General features: G+C 36.1%; 1 protein-coding gene and 1 pseudogene across 3 annotated transcripts in view; both read right to left on the reverse strand.

Annotated features, from left to right (window-relative positions):
- STRN (striatin) overlaps window positions 1–17,717 on the reverse strand; it is a 128,839-nt gene that overhangs the window by 16,039 nt on the left and 95,083 nt on the right. For all 3 annotated transcript variants that reach the window (XM_005264519.6, NM_003162.4, XM_011533073.3), the window contains 5 exons: window positions 15,818–15,993; window positions 14,078–14,125; window positions 7,396–7,517; window positions 4,120–4,287; window positions 1,476–1,616 (listed from right to left, as the gene is read on the reverse strand). In XM_005264519.6, the coding sequence (XP_005264576.1) occupies window positions 1,476–1,616; window positions 4,120–4,287; window positions 7,396–7,517; window positions 14,078–14,125; window positions 15,818–15,993 (655 nt within the window). The remainder of the gene's footprint in view (window positions 1–1,475; window positions 1,617–4,119; window positions 4,288–7,395; window positions 7,518–14,077; window positions 14,126–15,817; window positions 15,994–17,717) is intronic.
- Window positions 13,662–13,759, reverse strand: RNU6-577P (RNA, U6 small nuclear 577, pseudogene; annotated as a pseudogene).

A 17,717-nucleotide genomic window follows, 5' to 3' on the forward strand; every position in this document is an offset into this window, starting at 1 on the left:
TTTTTTTAAAAAAATATGCTAAATTCCAAAACAGAACAACACAATCAATTATAAATAACAAGGGGTAGTTCACAGTAAAACATAATAAGAGACTAATTTAAGTTTTCTTTATACAACTTTAAAAGTAAAAAACATAATTTAGAAAATGTCAGGACATATTACAACTCAAAATAATGATCATTTATTCCAGTAATGTTGCCTTTGTTAAAAACATTCTTGGAAGTTTTCTCAAAATGTTTCCAGTGTCAAGTAAAAAGTCCTATTAATTTAGAGTCACATCTCTTGGGGGAAAATGTGGATTCACTCGCCTAGTTCTCTTTATCCATCTTATCTACCAGACTTGACATCTTATTAACCTGCAGTCATTAAAAAGCACTATTTCCACTCAGGATGTTCACAAATTGGCCATATAATCTCTGAAGGTAATTACAAAAATGTTCTCATCCTTTCTAATTTCATATTAGTTTTTTATTTTGCTACTGTAGCTTTGAGTCATATATTTAAACATGATTTTAAATTTATTGAGAGTCTAAAACCTGTAATTTCTTGCTGAAAAAAATTCTCCTTTTCCAATTCTATCACCTGAGTTTAATTTATTTTCCTGTCTCTCTCGTTTACATCCAAGTAGCTCAAAGTTCTATTCATGCTTACTTCCCCAAACAAGTCTCAGCATATCAGAAGAAAACAATGAACAACAGGTTAGGAAGGGAAAATGATGAAAACCACAAAGGAATAAAGAAACTTTTTGAGAGAGAGAGAGACAGAGAGTGAGAACACCACAAGAACATATGTAAACATATGCATGTACATGTTCACACATGCATGTGCACACACACAACATATCATCACTTTTAAAGCTAGTTCTCAGATTAAAACAAGAGTATATGTATGTCGTATTCTTCATCAACTGCAACCTAAACTGTGATTGTCTAGATTATGGCTAACGACAGAAAGCAATGGTTAAGAAAGCCAAAAACCAAAAAAGAGTCTGTAATATCTTCTTCATAACCTGAAAAAGCACTTATTTCCTGACTTCCTGCATCCAATAAGAAGCTTCAGGTTTGGAATTCTGAGTGCCACAACATGATCTGTATTGAGCTGTACCAAATCATACTATTAATATAAAATTAAGTTGATTTAAAATATGAAATTACGAGAAATGAAAAATAGAATTTCCTATTCAGAATAAATATGGCTTTCTTCAAATAGAATTGAAAATTAATCATTTAGTATAAAATAAAACTTGACCCATAACAGCTCAAATGCTATTTCAAACAGTATAGTTATAAATGTACATAAACTTAACCCAAATTCTTAAAAGGTAAATAATTACAACCTTCTAAGTAACTGTGTTCTGAAAGTTAAGAGACAGAAAGCTTTATAATGACAAATATTTTTCACAGCTGACTCTAGTAGTCGTAATTTTGATTAAGTTAAAAAAATAAACACAGACAATTTAAAATTGGTATGCATACTTGTATCTACATTGGATTCTAAAGTGAGAATGCGTTGTTGTGTTTCCATGTTAAAAATGCTTGTATATCCCTTGCTGAATGATGCTACCATATGGCTCGGGTCACTGCTCACTAGATCCACAGAGGCAGGGATTCCCAGTTCTGAAAGAGAACATATTGAAATAGAATGGCAATTAAACCATCTACTTGACAATCTGCTTAAAATAGAGCAAAACAAAAAATGGCATGGTTTCCTTAAGAAGTAAACAAGGCTTACCATTAGAATAAGAATTAGCTCATAACTATTCATTGGAGATTATTTCTTTGTAACTTTTAGCCCTAGTCTATTTATTTCCCTTACCTGCTTAGCAGATCTTCTACCTGTTACTCAACTGATATATTCATGGAATGCAAGCCTTTATTTAGAGAGCAAATGGAAAACATGTATGAATTACAAATTTTGCTGCTTCCGCCCAACCTCAAGCTTAGAGTGACATAGTGGGAATTCTTCATTTTAAAAAACCCATCTCTTATTAGGGATGTTAGCTCATCAAAAATAGAGAAATTAAAAAGTAAAATTTAAAATTATTATTTATCGTTAGAGTCATGCAAATACCATATGAAGACAACTCATCAAAGCCTGGAAAGAAGTTATAATAGCTCAAGAATACAGAAGGTATTTTTATTTACCATCTAGAATACATGAAAACTTAGAGCTTATTTATAAACATAAAAATAGAAGGAAACATATAAAGTGAATATAATAATCTGATTTTTTTCATTTGGCTCAAAATCTAACTACAGCAAGGTAACAGTTCAAAAATGTGCATACTGCAGAAGAAGATACACAAATAACCAATAAGCAAACAAAAGAAATGCTCATCAAAATTAGCCATCAAAGAAATGCAAATAAACTATGATGAAATACTACTACACATCCACCAGAATGGCTAAAGTTAAACAGACTGACAATACTGTATGTTTGTAAGGATGCAGAGCAACTGGAATGCTCATACACTGCTGTCAAAGGTGTAAAATGGTACAACTACAAAATTTTTTTGAAAAATTTTTAGTGACTTCACATAAAGTAAAATAAACATCCACCTGAAAGCCCAGCAATTCTAAGTCTCTACACACCTATAATGAAAATATATGAATGTTCATAGCAGCCTTGTTCAAAATAGCAAAAAACTAGAGACAACCCAAATATCCATCAAGATATAAATGAATAGACAAATTATGGCTTAATGAAATACTATCAAATAAAAATGAAAGAAATAATTGATATAACACAAATGAATTTCCAAAACATTATAATGAAGAATAAAAGCAAGATACAAAGAACACATACTTTACTATTCCATTTACATGACGTTTGAGTAGATAAAACTAATCTATGATGAAAGAAATCACAACAGTGGGTACCTCTGGCTGGGAATAAGGAAAGGAGGGGACTGACTTGGAAAGACACGAAGGAACTTTGGGGAGATAAAGGAAATGTTCTATCTCTCATACGGTTTGGATCTGTGTCCTCACTCAAGTCTCATGTCAAACATAATCCCCAATATTGGAGATACGGCCTGGCGGGAGGTGATTGGATCATGGGGTGGATTTTCCCCTTTGGTGCTATTCTCGTGATAGAGTTCTCACAAGATTTGGTTGTTTAAAAATAGGTCCCACCCCCTTCTTCCTCCTGCTCCGGCCATGTAAAACATGCCTCCTGTCCCTTTGACTTCCACCATGATTGTAAATTGCTTGAGGCCTCCCCAGAAGCCAAAGAAAAGTTGCTATGCTTCCTGTACAGAACCGTCAACCAATTAAACCTTTTTTTTTTTTAAACAAATTACCCAGTCTCAGGTATTTCTTTATAGTGGTACGAGAATGGGCAAATATAGTCTTTTTTTTTTTTAAAGAAAATGTAGAGACAGGGCCTCGCTATGTTGCCCAGCTGGTCCCAAATTCCTGGCCTCTCGTGATCCTCCTGCCTCAGCCTCCCAAAGTGCTAGGATTACAGGTGTGAGCCACCACACCTGGATTCTATGTCTTGATTGATGTATGAGTTACATGGGTGTACTCATCTATCAGACTCACTGAAATGTATCCTTAATATCTGTTTTTCACTACATACAAATTATATCTTAATTTTTTAAAATCTAAAATCTGTGTGTTCTTTCACCAAAAACTATGCTTTCAAAAATTATAGGCTGGGTGCAGTGGCTCATGCCTGTAATCCCAGCACTTCGGGAGGCTGAGGCAGGCGAATCACTTGAGGTCAGGAGTTCCAGACCAGCCTGGCCAACACAGCAAAACCCTGTCTCTACTAAAAAAACTACAAAAATTAGCTGAGCGTGGTGGTGTGTGCTGGAGGCTGAGGCAGGAGAATTGCTTGAAACTGGGAGATGGAGGTTGCAGTGAGCCGAGATTGCGCCACTGCACTCCAGCCTGGGCAACAGAGTGATACTCCGTCTCAAAAAAAACAAAACAAAACAAAACAAAACAAAACAAAATTATATATAGGTTGGAAATTCAAACAAATACACTTTCGTGGCTTCAAAAACTTTCAAATTAAATTTAAAGAGTTCAGGGAATCATTTATCTGCTTGCTTATTTTCAGAATAAACTGTTTTATAGAGGATTCAGCAAAATAATTTTTTAAAGTATGTACCTTTAGTATCATTAAATACACTTAGTGCTGGAGCAACCTCAGTTGTATTCCATAAACGCAGAGTGCCATCTGCTGAACAGGACAACAAACGCTGATGTGCTGCACTATAAGCCAAACCCCAGACTGCATCCGTGTGGCCTAGCAGAGGGCCTCGTAAAACAGAAGGATCTATACAAAACAGTAAAAATGCAAAATCAGGAGAAAAACAACCACAAAGGTACTTAGATTTCAGAGAAAGTAAAATATATAAACAATAGCACCTGATAACAGTATAAAATATGATTCTTGGTTTCTATTATTCTTCTGACAGGCTACAGTAAATCAAAACAAGCTTGGAAATATACAAATATAAAGTTAAAAAATTTTAAATTAAAATTTAAAAGCACGTATTTTTCCCCCTTAAAAAAACTGAGTATTTCCTCCCCCTTCCTTTTGTCCTTCCATTTGTCTAAATATTTTTAAAGCACGTTGATACGAAATCATTTGAATTTAATTCATCTTTGGAGAAACCACAACTCACACTCCCTGAGGAAGTGAACAGAGAGGTCCTCTCCCTCTCTGAAGTCCCTTAGCACTTTGGCTATACTTCCTTCTGTTCACTTATCTTACTATATGATGGATGGCAGTTTTTCCTGAAAATATGGCATTCATAATGGACAGGAAGTGACATCTACAGGAATCCCCAAATTCTCAAACAGCAGTAACTGAGATGCAGTGATAGTGTATGCAGGGGAAGAGGGAGGGAAGTGGGGAGGTTAAGCACAGTCTCATGATAAAAGTCAAATTGGAAACCTTATTAATCTTCACAATGATTCTATGAAGTGGTACTTTCAAGATGACTCACAAATGTTAAGTCTGGAAATGTCAATGGTGTTATGTCTTATATCCTCTGTCACACATACCATAAAATATTGAAGACACACTGTGTGTCAGGCACTATGCTCAATGATGGAGCCAAATACATGATTAATACCCAATTCTATCCCAGTCCTCAACAGACAATGTTGAAAGTACAATAATTGTGACAGACATCAGTTAGCAGAGAGTAACTGGAATGAGTGAGAACTTGGAGAGTGAAACCTAGAATTTACAGATGTTAGCCAGTTGAAGAAGAGGGGGAGAACATGATTGACAAGAAGGCAGCACCTACAAAACCACATGAAAAAAGAAACAGCATGATATGCAAGTAAATGTATAAGCAATTCAGTATTACTGGAGTGTGGACTTTGAAATAGGAAGTAGATGGGATGAGGGCATCTAGTTTATGGTGTGATTTCTACTACATATTAAGGAACTTGGAAATTATCCTGAAAGCAACAAGCAATCTGTCTCCAGGGGCAGCAGGATCAAGTATGTATTTAATAAGGTAAGCTTGGTAGTAGTACAGAAGACAGATTAGACAGAATCAAGACAAAGGCAAGAGATTGTTTCAGCAGACAAAAAGAGTGACAAAGACCTAAGGCCAGGGGAAGCAGTGAGACAGCCAGAGCAGAAAAAGTAAACTCAAGAAATATTTAGGGAGTCATTACCAAAAAACTAGGTAATTAGTAAGTGGGGACAGTGTGACAGAACAGGGAATCTGAAGTAATTCTTAGGTTTCTAGTTTGGGTGATTCTCATAGTGCCACCAACTAAAAAAGAATATACGAGAGAAGAAACACAGAAAATGCTAGGATTTACAGACAATGAAACAGTCATCCTGAAATTCCTGTAGTCAATCTGAAGCTTAAAGATGTATGAGTCAACTATATGTAAAAGTACAGATGTAGATTCAGTCTCTCAAGGAATGTTTGTACACTGCAAAAAGTTAGGGTCTGGGTCTTTATAAATGTCAATATTTAAGGCAAGAAAAATAAAAGCAGTTTATGAAGGACAGGGAACAGAAATTGTCACAAAGGGTCAAAAAGCCAATAGAATGGACAGATTTCAAAAAGGATGGAGTTGTTAACAATCTCAGATACAGCCAATACATCCAGTAAAATAAAAGACTAAAAATATTCTTGGATCAGGCAATTAGTTACTGACAATCTTGTTACATGTAAGTGTTGTAGCCAGAAGCCAGAATGTAGACAGATGAAGCACAGAGAAAAAACATGAAATTAGTAACTGGTAATTGTGTTTTCTAGACAATACCATCAAAGAAACAGATGATGAGGAAAAGAGAGGGACTAAACAGAAGGCAGAGACGGAAACAAGGTCAAGAAAAGGCTTCTCCTTGACCAGAATGGAAGATACCCGAATTTACTTATTTGCTGAGGGGATGGAAAGGGAGCAAGGAGGGTAAGGCTTAATTAAGATGCAAGAGAACAAGAGCAGAAGAGCAAGAGATTAGAATGCAGTCGCAAAGAGACAGAGAGAGATTCGAGTACAGTCACAAAAGAAACTAAAATGAATAAAGTCAAAATGGGAAGGACTGGCCTAGGACAGAATGAGGGACAGTTGATCCTCTGGCAGAGAGGTAAAGGAAGTAAGGAAAGACATGGAACAGATAACTTATAAGAGAATTAGGGGAGAGTGGGGTTACCTTTCACAACATATTAATGCTCGTTAAATAAATGCTGGGAAAAATTTTTGTTTATTGAATTTCTTATCCTTACTCTGGTTTGGTGGTAAAATTAATCTAAAATGATGATGAAATTAAAATGCTTTTATGACAAATGTGATACTTCAAACTACTCTAGAACTTAACAGAAAACCAAAATACCCAATTCCTAAATAGTTTTTACAAATGAATCTGTGGTCATATCCATTGATAGATTATAATATGATTTATGATGTATGGTATTGTTCCCAAAACTAAAGGGTACTTCTTAACTTCTGAGGCCTTTTACATATTTTGGTGTCATGGGCTTTAAAAATTATTAGCTTCTACAGCCCTCCAATAATTGACCAAGGGGATGGCACCAACATTCATTTTCCTTAAAAGTTGTTTGACAAGAATAATGATGAAATATTATTACAGATTAGTAATAATGTATCAAGAACTCTACAGATGCCTAAAATAAGAAAACAACTGTCAGTCAAGCCTGTATTTCCAATCAATAAGACTTTAGAGAAGTGGGAACTGTATTTTCAAGAATGTGTTCTTCTTTTCTTCTTTTAGCATTGTATATCAAGTTAATTCCTAAATACAGAAGTCCTTTTTAACAAAATAAAGATGTGGTTCTCTTTACCTATTTATTTTCAAAAATCTCTTTATCTCTTCCTTTTATATTCTATGAAAAAATGTGTTTAAAAAACCAATTTTATTCCTTCAGATCTTTGGGAAATCACCTACCATAAGAATCATAGGGGTCGATGTTGGGATTAGTGGTATTCCAGCCCTGGATCAGTCCATCAGTACCACCACTGTAACACTGCTCACCATTGCTGCTCATTACCACACAAAGCACTGGACCTCTGGGAGATTAAAAAAAATAAATCAACTGCTATTCTCAAAAACCAACCTGATAATATGACTTGTTAAAAATAAGAATGTTTAATTACCCAAATGGCTATTTTTCTGCTTTTTATAAAAAATGAAAACACAGGTACTATCAAAGCACTGTTCATTTTTCTTCCTCTGGTTTAAGAGGTTGGTAAATTATGGTCAGCAGGTCAAATCCAACCACTGGTCTGTTTCTGTACAGTCCTCAAGCTAAGAATGGTCTTTACATTTTTAAAGGGTTATAAAACAAAACAAAACAAAAAACAAGAATATGCAACAGAAATTATATGACTAGCAAATCCTAAAATATTTCAAAAAGTCTAACAGCCTGAGTCAGATATTATGTGACTCTTTATATAAAAAGTATGCCAATCTCTGTGCTAAATCAAGAGAAAAGGCACATTCCTTAAACAGAAACAGAAAAAAAAATGCAATGTATCATTGCGTGAGCACACACACACACACACACACACACACACACACTTCTCACAAAACTTTTTAACTTTTAGTTTCAAGGTTACATGTGCAGGTTGGTACTATAGATAAATTGCATGCCTTGGCGGTTTGCTGTACATATTATTCCCTCACTCAGGAAAAAAGCATAGTACGCAATGGGTAGTTTTTCCAATCCTCACCCTCTTCCCACCCTTCACAGTCAAGTTGGCCCTAGTGTCTATTGTTCCCTTCTTCTGTCCATGTATACTCAATGTTTAGTTCTCACTTATAAGTGAGAACATGCAGTATTTGGTTTTCTGTTCCTGCATTAGTTTGCTTAAGATGGTCTTCAGTTCCATGATTTTCCTGCAAAGGACAGGATCTCATTTTTTATGGGTGCATAGTATTCCACGGTGTCTATGTACCACATTTTCTTTATCCAGTTTACCGATGATGGGCATTTAGGGTGACTCCATGTCTTTGCTACTATGTGCTATGATTAACACACATGCATGTGTCTTTATAGCAGAATGATTTATATTCCTTTGGGTATATACCTAATAATGCTAGGTTGACTGGTAGTTCAAACTTCTTTGAGAAATCACCAAACTGGCTTTCCACAGTGGCTGAACTAATTTACACTCCTACCAGCAGCATTTAAGTGTTCCTTTTTCTCCACAGCCTTGCCAGCATCTGTTATCTTTTGACCTTTTAATAACAGCCATTCTGCCTGGTGTGACATGGCATCTCATTGTGGTCTTGATTTGCATTTCTGTAATAATAAGTGTTGTTGAGCATTTTTTCCTGTCTGTTGGCCACATGTATGTCTTCTTCTGGAAACTATCTGTTCATGTTCTTTGCCCACTTTTTAATGGGGTTGTTTTTTGCTTGTTAATTTTTGATTTGCATTTCTGTAATAAGTGATGATGAGCATTTTTCATGTCTGTTGGCCGCATGTATGTCTTCTTTTGGAAACTATCTGTTCACGTCCTTTGCCCACTTTTTAATGGGGTTGTTTTTATTCTTTTTTTTTTTTGAGATGGAGTCTCGCTCTGTCACCCAGGCTGGAGTGCAGTGGCGCGATCTTGGCTCACTGCAAGCTCTGCCTCCCGGGTTCACGCCGTTCTCCTGCCTCAGCCTCTCCGAGTAGCTGGGACTACAGGCGCCCACCACCACGCCCGTCTAATTTTTTGTATTTTTAGTAGAGACGCGGTTTCACCGTGGTCTTGATCTCCTGACCTCATGATCCGCCCGCCTCGGCCTCCCAAAGTGCTGGGATTATAAGCGTGAGCCACCGCACCTGGCCTGCTTTTAGCTTGTTAATTTGTTTAGGTTCCTTACAGATTCTGGATATTGGTCCTTTGTCAGATTCATAGTTTGCAAATATTTTCTCTCATTCTGTGGGTTGTCTATTTACGCTGTTGATCGTTCTAATGTGTGCAGAAGCTCTTCAGTTAAATTAGGTCCCATTTGTCATTTTTTTTTTTGGTCATTGTTGCAATTGCTTTTGGTGTCTTCATCATGAAATCTTTGCCAGGGCATATGTCTAGAATGGTATTCCCTAGGTTTTCTTCAACTTTTTTTAGTTTTAGGTTTTGCATTTAAGTCTTTAATCCGTCTGAATTGATTTTTATATATGGTATAAGGAAGGGGTCCAGTTTCAATCTTCTGCATATGGCTAGCCATTTATCCCAGCATCATTTATTGAATAGGGAGTCCTTTCCCCATTGCTTTTGTCAACTTTGTCGAAGATTAGACGGTTATAAGTGTGCAGCTTTATTTCTGGGCTCTCTATTCTGTTTCATTGGTCTATGCTTCTGTTTTTGTACCAGTACCATGATGTTTTGGTTACTACAGCCCTGTAGTATAGTTTGAAGTCAGGTAATGTGATGCCTCCAGCTTTGTTCTTTTTGCTTAGGATTGCCTTGGCTCTTCGGGTTTCCATATGAATTTTAAACATTTTTTCTAATTCTGTTAGAATGTCATTGGTAGTTTGATAGGAATAGCATTGAATTTGTAAATTGCTTTGGGCAGTACGGCCATTTTAACAATAGATTCTTTCTATCCATGAGCATGGAATGTTTTTCCATTTCTTTGTGTCATCTCTGATTTCTTTGAGCAGTGTTTTGTAATTCTCAGTGTAGAGATCTTTCACCTCCATGGTTAGCTATATTCCTAGTTATTTTATCTTTTTTGTGACTACTGTAAATGAGACTGCATTCTTGATTTGGTACTCAGCTTGGGCATTATTGGTGTGTATAAATGGTACTGATTTTCATACATTGATTTTATATCCAGAAATTTGCTGAAGTTGTTTTATCAGATCTGGGAGCTTTTGGGAAGAGACTATAGCATTTTTTAGGTATAAAATTATATTGTCTGCAAACAAAGACAGTTTGACTGCCTTTCTTCCTATTTGAATGCCTTTTCTTTTCCTTGCCTGACTGCTCTGGCTAGGACTTCCAGTACTATATTGAATAGGAGTGGTGAGAGCAGGCATCCTTGTCTTGTTCCAGTTCTCAAGAGAAATGCTTCCAGATTTTGCAGTTCAGTATGATTTTGCAGGCTGTGAGCTTGTCATAGATGGCTCTTAATATTTTGGGGTATGTTCCTTCAATGCCTAGTTTGTTCAGGGTTTTTAAAATGAAGTGATGCTGAATTTTATCGAAAGCCTTTTCTGCATCTGTTGAGATGATCATGTGATTTTTGTTTTCAGTTCTGTTCATGTGATGAACCACATTTATTGATTTGTGTATACTGAACTAACCTTGCAACCCAGGGATAAAGCCTGCCTGATTGTGGTGGATTAGCTTTTTGATGTGCTGTTGGATTTTCTCTGCTAGTAATTGGTTGAAGATTTTTGCATCTATGTTCATCAAGGATATTGGCCTGAAGTTTTCCTTTCTGTTGTATCTCTGCCAGGTTTTGGTATCAGGATGATGCTGGCCTCATAGAATGAGTTAGGGAAAAGTCCCTCTTCCTCTTTATTTTTATTTATTATTTATTTTTGAGATGGAGTTTCATCACTCTTGTCGCCCAGGCTGGAATGCAATGGGTGCGATCTCAGCTTACTGCAACCTCTGCCTCCCAGTTTCAAGTGATTCTCCTGCCTCAGCCTCCCAAGTAGCTGGGATTACAGGCACCTGCCACCACGCCCAGCTAATTTTTTTGTATTTTTAGCAGAGATGGGGTTTCACCATGTTGGCCAGGCTGGTCTCGAACTCCTGATCTCAGGTGATCTACCCACCTTGACCTCCCAAAGTGCTGGGATTACAGGCGTGAGCCACTGCACCCGGCCCCTCCTCCTCAATTTTCTGGAATAGTTTTAGTAGGAATGGCGCCAGTTGTTCTTTATGCGTTAGGTAGAATTCAATTGTGAATCCATCTCAACCTGGGCTTTTTCTTGTTGGTAAGCTTTTTATTACTGATTCAATTTCAGAACTCATTATTGGTCTGTTCACAATTAGAATTTCTTCCTGGTTTAGTCTTGGGACGTTGTTTCCAGGAATTTATCCATTTCTTCTACGTTTTCTAGTTTGTGTGCACAGAGGTGTTCATAACAGTTTCTGGCTGGTTTTTGTATTTCTGTGGGGTTGGTGGTAATATTACATTTATCATTTCTGGTTGTGTTTATTTGGATCTTCTCTTTTTTTCTTTATTAGTTTAGCTAGTGGTCTACCTATCTTATTCTTTCGAAGAACCAACTTCTGGTTTCAATGATATTTTATACGTTTTTTTTGTGTGTCTCAATTTCATTCAGTTCAGCTCTGAGTTTGGTTATTTCTTGTCTTCTGCTAGCTTTGGGGTTGGTTTTTCTCTTGTGTGTGATGTTAAGTTGTTAATTTGAGATCTAACTTTTTTTTGAGATGGAATCTCACTCTGTCGCCCAGGTTGGAGTGCAGTGGTGGCATATCGGCTCACTGCAACCTCTGCCTCCTGGGTTCAAGCAATTCTCCTGCCTCAGCCTCCTGAGTAGCTGGGATTACAGGTGCACGCCACCGCACTCAGCTAGTTTTTATATTTTTAGTAGAGATGGGGTTTCACCATGTTGGCCAGGCTGGTCTCAAACTCCTGACCTTGTGATCCGCCTGCCTCAACCTCCCAAAGTGCTGGAATTACAGGTGTGAGCCACTGCACTGGCCGAGATCTAATTTTTTGATGTGGGTGTTTAGCACCATAAATTTCCCTCTCAACACAGAATTTCCCAGAGATTCTGGTATGTTGTAGCTTTGGTTTCATTAGTTTCAAAGAATTTCTTGATTTTTGCCTTAATTTCATTATTTACCAATAAATCATTCAGGAGCTGGTTAATTTCCATGTAACTGTATGGTTTTGAGCAATCTTGGTATTGATTTCTATTATTTATTTATTTGAGACAGGGTATCGCTCGCTCTGTTTCCCAGGCTGGTGTGCAGTGGCATGACCTCAGCTCACTGCAAACTCCACCTCCCGGGCTCAATTCATCCTCCCACCTCAGCCCCCTAAGCAGCTGAGACTACAGGAACACGTCACCACTAGTGGCTGATTTTTGTAGAGATGGGGTTCTGCCATGCTGCCCAGGCTGGTCCAGAACTTCTGAGCTCATGCAATCTGCCCGCCTCAGCTTCTCAAAAGTGCTGGGATTACAAGCATGAGCCCCTGCACCCAGCCACTGACTTTTATTTTTACTGTGTTTGGTCTGAGAGTGTGGTTGGCATGATTTCAGTTTTTCTAAATTTGCCGAGAAGTGTTTAATGGTCAGGAGTGTGGTTGATTTTAGAATATGTGCCATGTACAAATGAGAAGAATGTATATTCTGTTGTTTTGCAGTGGAGAGTTCTGTAGATACATGTTAGGTCCATTTGGTCAAGCATCAAGTTCAGGTCCCGAATATTTTAGTTTTCTGCCTTGATGATCTAATACATCAGTGGGGTGTTAAAGTCTCCCACTATTATTGTAAAGTTATATAAATCTTTTTGACAGTCTCTAAGAATTTATTAATCTGGGTGCTCCTATGTTGGGTAAATATATATGTAAGATAGTTAAGAATTTTCTTGAATTGAATCCTTTATTGTCATGTAATGCCCTCCTTTGTCTTTACTGATCTTTGTTGGTTTAAAGTCTGTTTTGTCTGAAATTAGAGTAGCAACTCCTGCTTTTTTCTGTTTTCCATTTGCTTGGTTGATTGTTCTTCATCCCTTTTCTTTGAGCCTATGGGTGTTACTGCATGTGAGGTGGGTCGCTTAAAGATAGAATACAGTTGGGTCTTGCTTCTTTAATGCAACTTGCCACTGTATGCCTTTTAATTGGGGCATTTAGCCCTTTTACATTCAAGGTTAACACTGATATGTGCCCATTTGATCCTGTGATCATGTTGTTAGCTGGTTATTACACACACTTGATTGTGTAGTTGCTACAAAGTGTCAATGGTCTAAGTAACTAATTGTGTTTCTGTGGTGGCTGGTAATATTCTTTTGTTTCCATGTTTAGAAAAATATGAAACCCTTCGGCCAGGTGCCTGTAATCCTACCACTTTGGGAGGCTGAGGTGGGTGGATCACTTGAGGTCAAGAGTTCAAGCCCAGGAGTTCAAGACCACCCTGGCCAACAGTGTAAAACCTTGTCTCCACTGGATCATGCCACTGCATCCAGACTGGGCAACAGCGTGAGACCCCGTCTCAAAAAAAAAAAGAAAAGAAAAAGAAAAATATGGAACCCTTCGTGAATCTGTGTCATCCTTGTACTGAGGCCTTGCTAATCTCTGTATCTTTCCAATTGTAGGGTATCTACTACCAAAGGAGGCACTTGAATATTTTAATCCAAATTATATGAGGAAAAAAAGCTGGAATTTCTAATATTTAAACCTAGTTGGCTCTAGTTTAAAGATATAAATACGTACCTCACTTAAACACCATGTAAATAAAATCTAATTTAAGCACAAATCCCTACTTGGCAATGATGAACTTCGTTTTAGCATTATATTATCTGTCAAATTCTTTTACATTAAAAAAACACTCCTAAATACAAAGAATACCTAGTAAGTGAAAGAAAATAAAATATCCTAACCAGGCTATTTTACAGAGATATCGGTTTAAAATAAAGAAAAAACATATACTTACTTATGGGCTCTGAATGTATAGATAGGTTCTACATCAAGAGAAGTGCTCCTAAATCAGAGAGAGATGACTTTACCATTCTAAGTGTCAGTAAACAGTATAATTAAACATATGTCATAAAATTGTCTTTAAAAATACAAACATTATGGGAATATACCATTCTCAACTACACGATACGTAAGAAAGCTTACTTAACACCAATTATACTTTCATGGCATCAAGAAACAAGATTCTTGTTTAGTAATAATATCATGTTACAGTATTTTTAGCCCTGTCATAATCTATTTGACTAAAGGGAAAGACAGCTTCATTCAAGAGAAAAAGCATGAGCTTTGAAGAGATAAATTTCTGAACTCAATTTCCAGTTCTGTCACTAATTGGCTAACTTTAAGCAAATTATTTAATCTTTCTGAACTTCAGATTACTCCGTTTAAAACAAAACAGAAAAATGGGAATAACACCAAATAATCACAGGATTAAATAGGATTCTACAATTTAAAAAACACCCCAGGACACAATCATGCACATAGTAGGATATCAGCAAATGGTACTTTTATTTCCTTGCCTTTCCAATAAGGATAATATGTCTATCCTTCATACTGAAGAGACTGTCCAAATTATCAGTTTATTCATTACTCAGAACACCATTATTATAGGTACACTATACCCTAATACTGGCTATGACTTTGATGGAAACTGGATTTAAAGTCACGTACTTACTGTTTTCTACACTGTATCGCAGTTACGCATAGACATGTTATCTCACAATGTATAACCAGTAAACTATTTTTCTCTTCTGAAAACACCTAATCTATGTGAAAGTCCATCTGGTTTTAGCAACATCTGGTTGAGCTATCTGAAGCAGACTGATAAATCAAGTATTTCATCTACCCTATGTATGACACAGCATGAATGACACTGATCTCTCTTAAGCCAGGCAATAGATTTCCTCCATTGGTAGTAAAATTTTTGTAACCTCCTCTATTTGATGTTCAGTGATGACTCTTATAATAACAAAGTGCCTAATACTGCAAAAGGGTCTTTGCTGGCAGATGCTGGTTCTTTTTTTTTTTTTTTTTGACATGTGACCCAAAGGAGTGGAGCTCCGATAAGGACCCAAGCAAGTAGAACCAGATTTAGCTTTGTGACTTTTAAAGGGTTTATACTAACTCATGTCTATCCATGCTTAGACAGGAACTAAAGGGCCAAGGTGAGCACTAGCAGTCATGTTAGCCTCTGAGTCTAGACATATTGGTGGGTATGGAAAGTACCTAAAGTCTCAAGGCCAAAAGACAAGACCAAGACCCTCCACCCATCCCAGTGAGGCTTTTCTCTGCTCCATCTCATAAGTCTAAATCTAGTAAACAATGGGGCAAGGTGGAGGTGGACATTTGATTATTTTAAAGATGCATATACCTGTTTACAAGAACAGTCCAAACCTTCAGTATAGACAAGGGGCTCCCCAAATATAGCAGCCATTTAAAAATACTGTTATGTATAAAGACTGTAATCAGTATTCACAAACCCTGGTGAAACCAACAGATAATACCATATCTTCCTAAGCATCAGTTTTCTAACCTAGCATTAGGTTGTATAAATGGAAAAACACAATAAATTACATGACATGGAAGAAAGAACTAGAAGAAATGTTTGGGAAATTTAACAGAAATCATAAAATATGTAGTTTTCTGCTGAAAATGTTACTTAAAATATTCAAATAATGTTAAAGTAGAATATTCTCACTTTTTGGCTGGGGCTGTTTTCTGTAAATTCCACATTTTTAATGTGTGATCCTCTGATGCTGTTATCAAAACAGGCTCAATGGGATGGAAAGCAAGGGCTCGGATGCCATCAAAGTGACTTCTCAATGTAAACTTAGGGTTCCATGTCTTCCTCAATGCATCTTTATTGTTTGCTATCTATTAAAGAAACAAAACAAAGATATCTACACACTTAGTTAAGGATAGGGGAAAAAACTTGCATTTCAACATTAATTCTTGCTGATGTGTCAATAAACGATCACTTTGCAATTTTTAAAACAATATAATTTTTATATGTAAATAACCAAACCACGAAGCAAAATTAGCAATAACCCAACACTAGTTTTCTTTGAAGAAATATGAAAGGTGTATTACAAAAACAATTAACATAATTCAATATAAAAAGTGAATCAAATTATATAAAATAGATCTTACTAGGATGATAAATAATACCAAGTAATTCAACACAAATTATAGTATACAAGTATAATTTTGGGTTAAGAGTTGAAAAACTAAGTTATCTTTAAACCTGCTAACATTTTAAAATGTCATACTTTTGAGATTTTAAATACTTTCTAATAGCTAAATTTTCTTCATCAAACTGGAGGCAAAGTTTATAAACTGGAAACATAAAATGTTAAAAATCGAAGAGATAACACAAAGAATGCATTCCACTGGTAAAACACACATGTTCTTTCCCTCCATGGTAACTCAATCTCAAAAATGAAAAAAAAAAAAAAGCACTATTTTTTCATTCCAATTACATAACAGAAAAGCTAAAGAGGTAGATTATATTTGATTTTACACTAGCACCACAGGGTATGAATTCTTCACACTCCAAGGCTAGCAATCAGACTAAGTTTAAATAAGGGTAGCAAAAGTACAATCATGTGCCACATAAATACATTTTGGTCAACGATGGACCACATATATGATGCTGGTCCCATAAAATTATAATGAAGCTGAAAAATTCCTATAGTAACATCATAGCTGTTTTAATGTTGTAGCACAATACATTACTCACATGTTTGTGGTGATGCTGGTATAAACAAACCTATTTGTGCTGCCAGTAGTATTAAAGTCTAGCACATATAATTATGTACAGAACACAATACTGGATAATGATGATAAACTGCTGTTACTGGTTTATGTTATTTATTATAATTTTTATTCTACAGTATATTCCTTCTACTTATTTTTTAAAAGTTAACTGTAAAACAGCTTTAGACAGGTTAGAAGGCACTGTTATCACAAAAGATGACAGCTCCATGACTGTGACTGCCCCTGAAGACCTTCTAGTGGGACAAGATGTGGAGGTAGAAGAGAGTGATACTGATGATCCTGACCCTGTATAGGCCTAGGTTAATATGCGTATGTGTATTCATTTTTAACAAAAAAGTTAAAAAGTAAAATAAACATTAAAAATTTTAAAAATAGGAAAAAGCTTATAGAGTAAGGATATAAAGGAAGAGAATATTTTTCTACAGCTATACAATGTGTTTGTGCTTTAAGCTGTGTCAAAATGTTTTTAAAAATTCAGTTTATAAAGTAAAGATTATAGTAAGCAAAGTCTAATTTATTACTGAAGAAAATTTTTTATATATAATTTAGCACAGCTTAGGTGTACAGTGTTTACAAAGTCAATGGTAGTGTACAGTAATGTCCTAGACCTTCACATTCACTCATCACTCACTCACTGACTCATTCAGAGCAACTTTCAGTCCTGCAAGCTCCATTCGTGATAAGTGTCCTATACAGGTGTACCATTTTAAAATCTTTTACACTGTATTTTTACTGGACCTTTTCTATGTTTAGACATGTTTAGATACTTACCATTGTGTTACAGTTGCCTACAGTATAGTAACATGCTGTATAGATTTGTA

This window comes from Homo sapiens, chromosome 2, assembly GCF_000001405.40.
Source record: "Homo sapiens chromosome 2, GRCh38.p14 Primary Assembly".
NCBI lineage: Eukaryota > Metazoa > Chordata > Mammalia > Primates > Hominidae > Homo > Homo sapiens.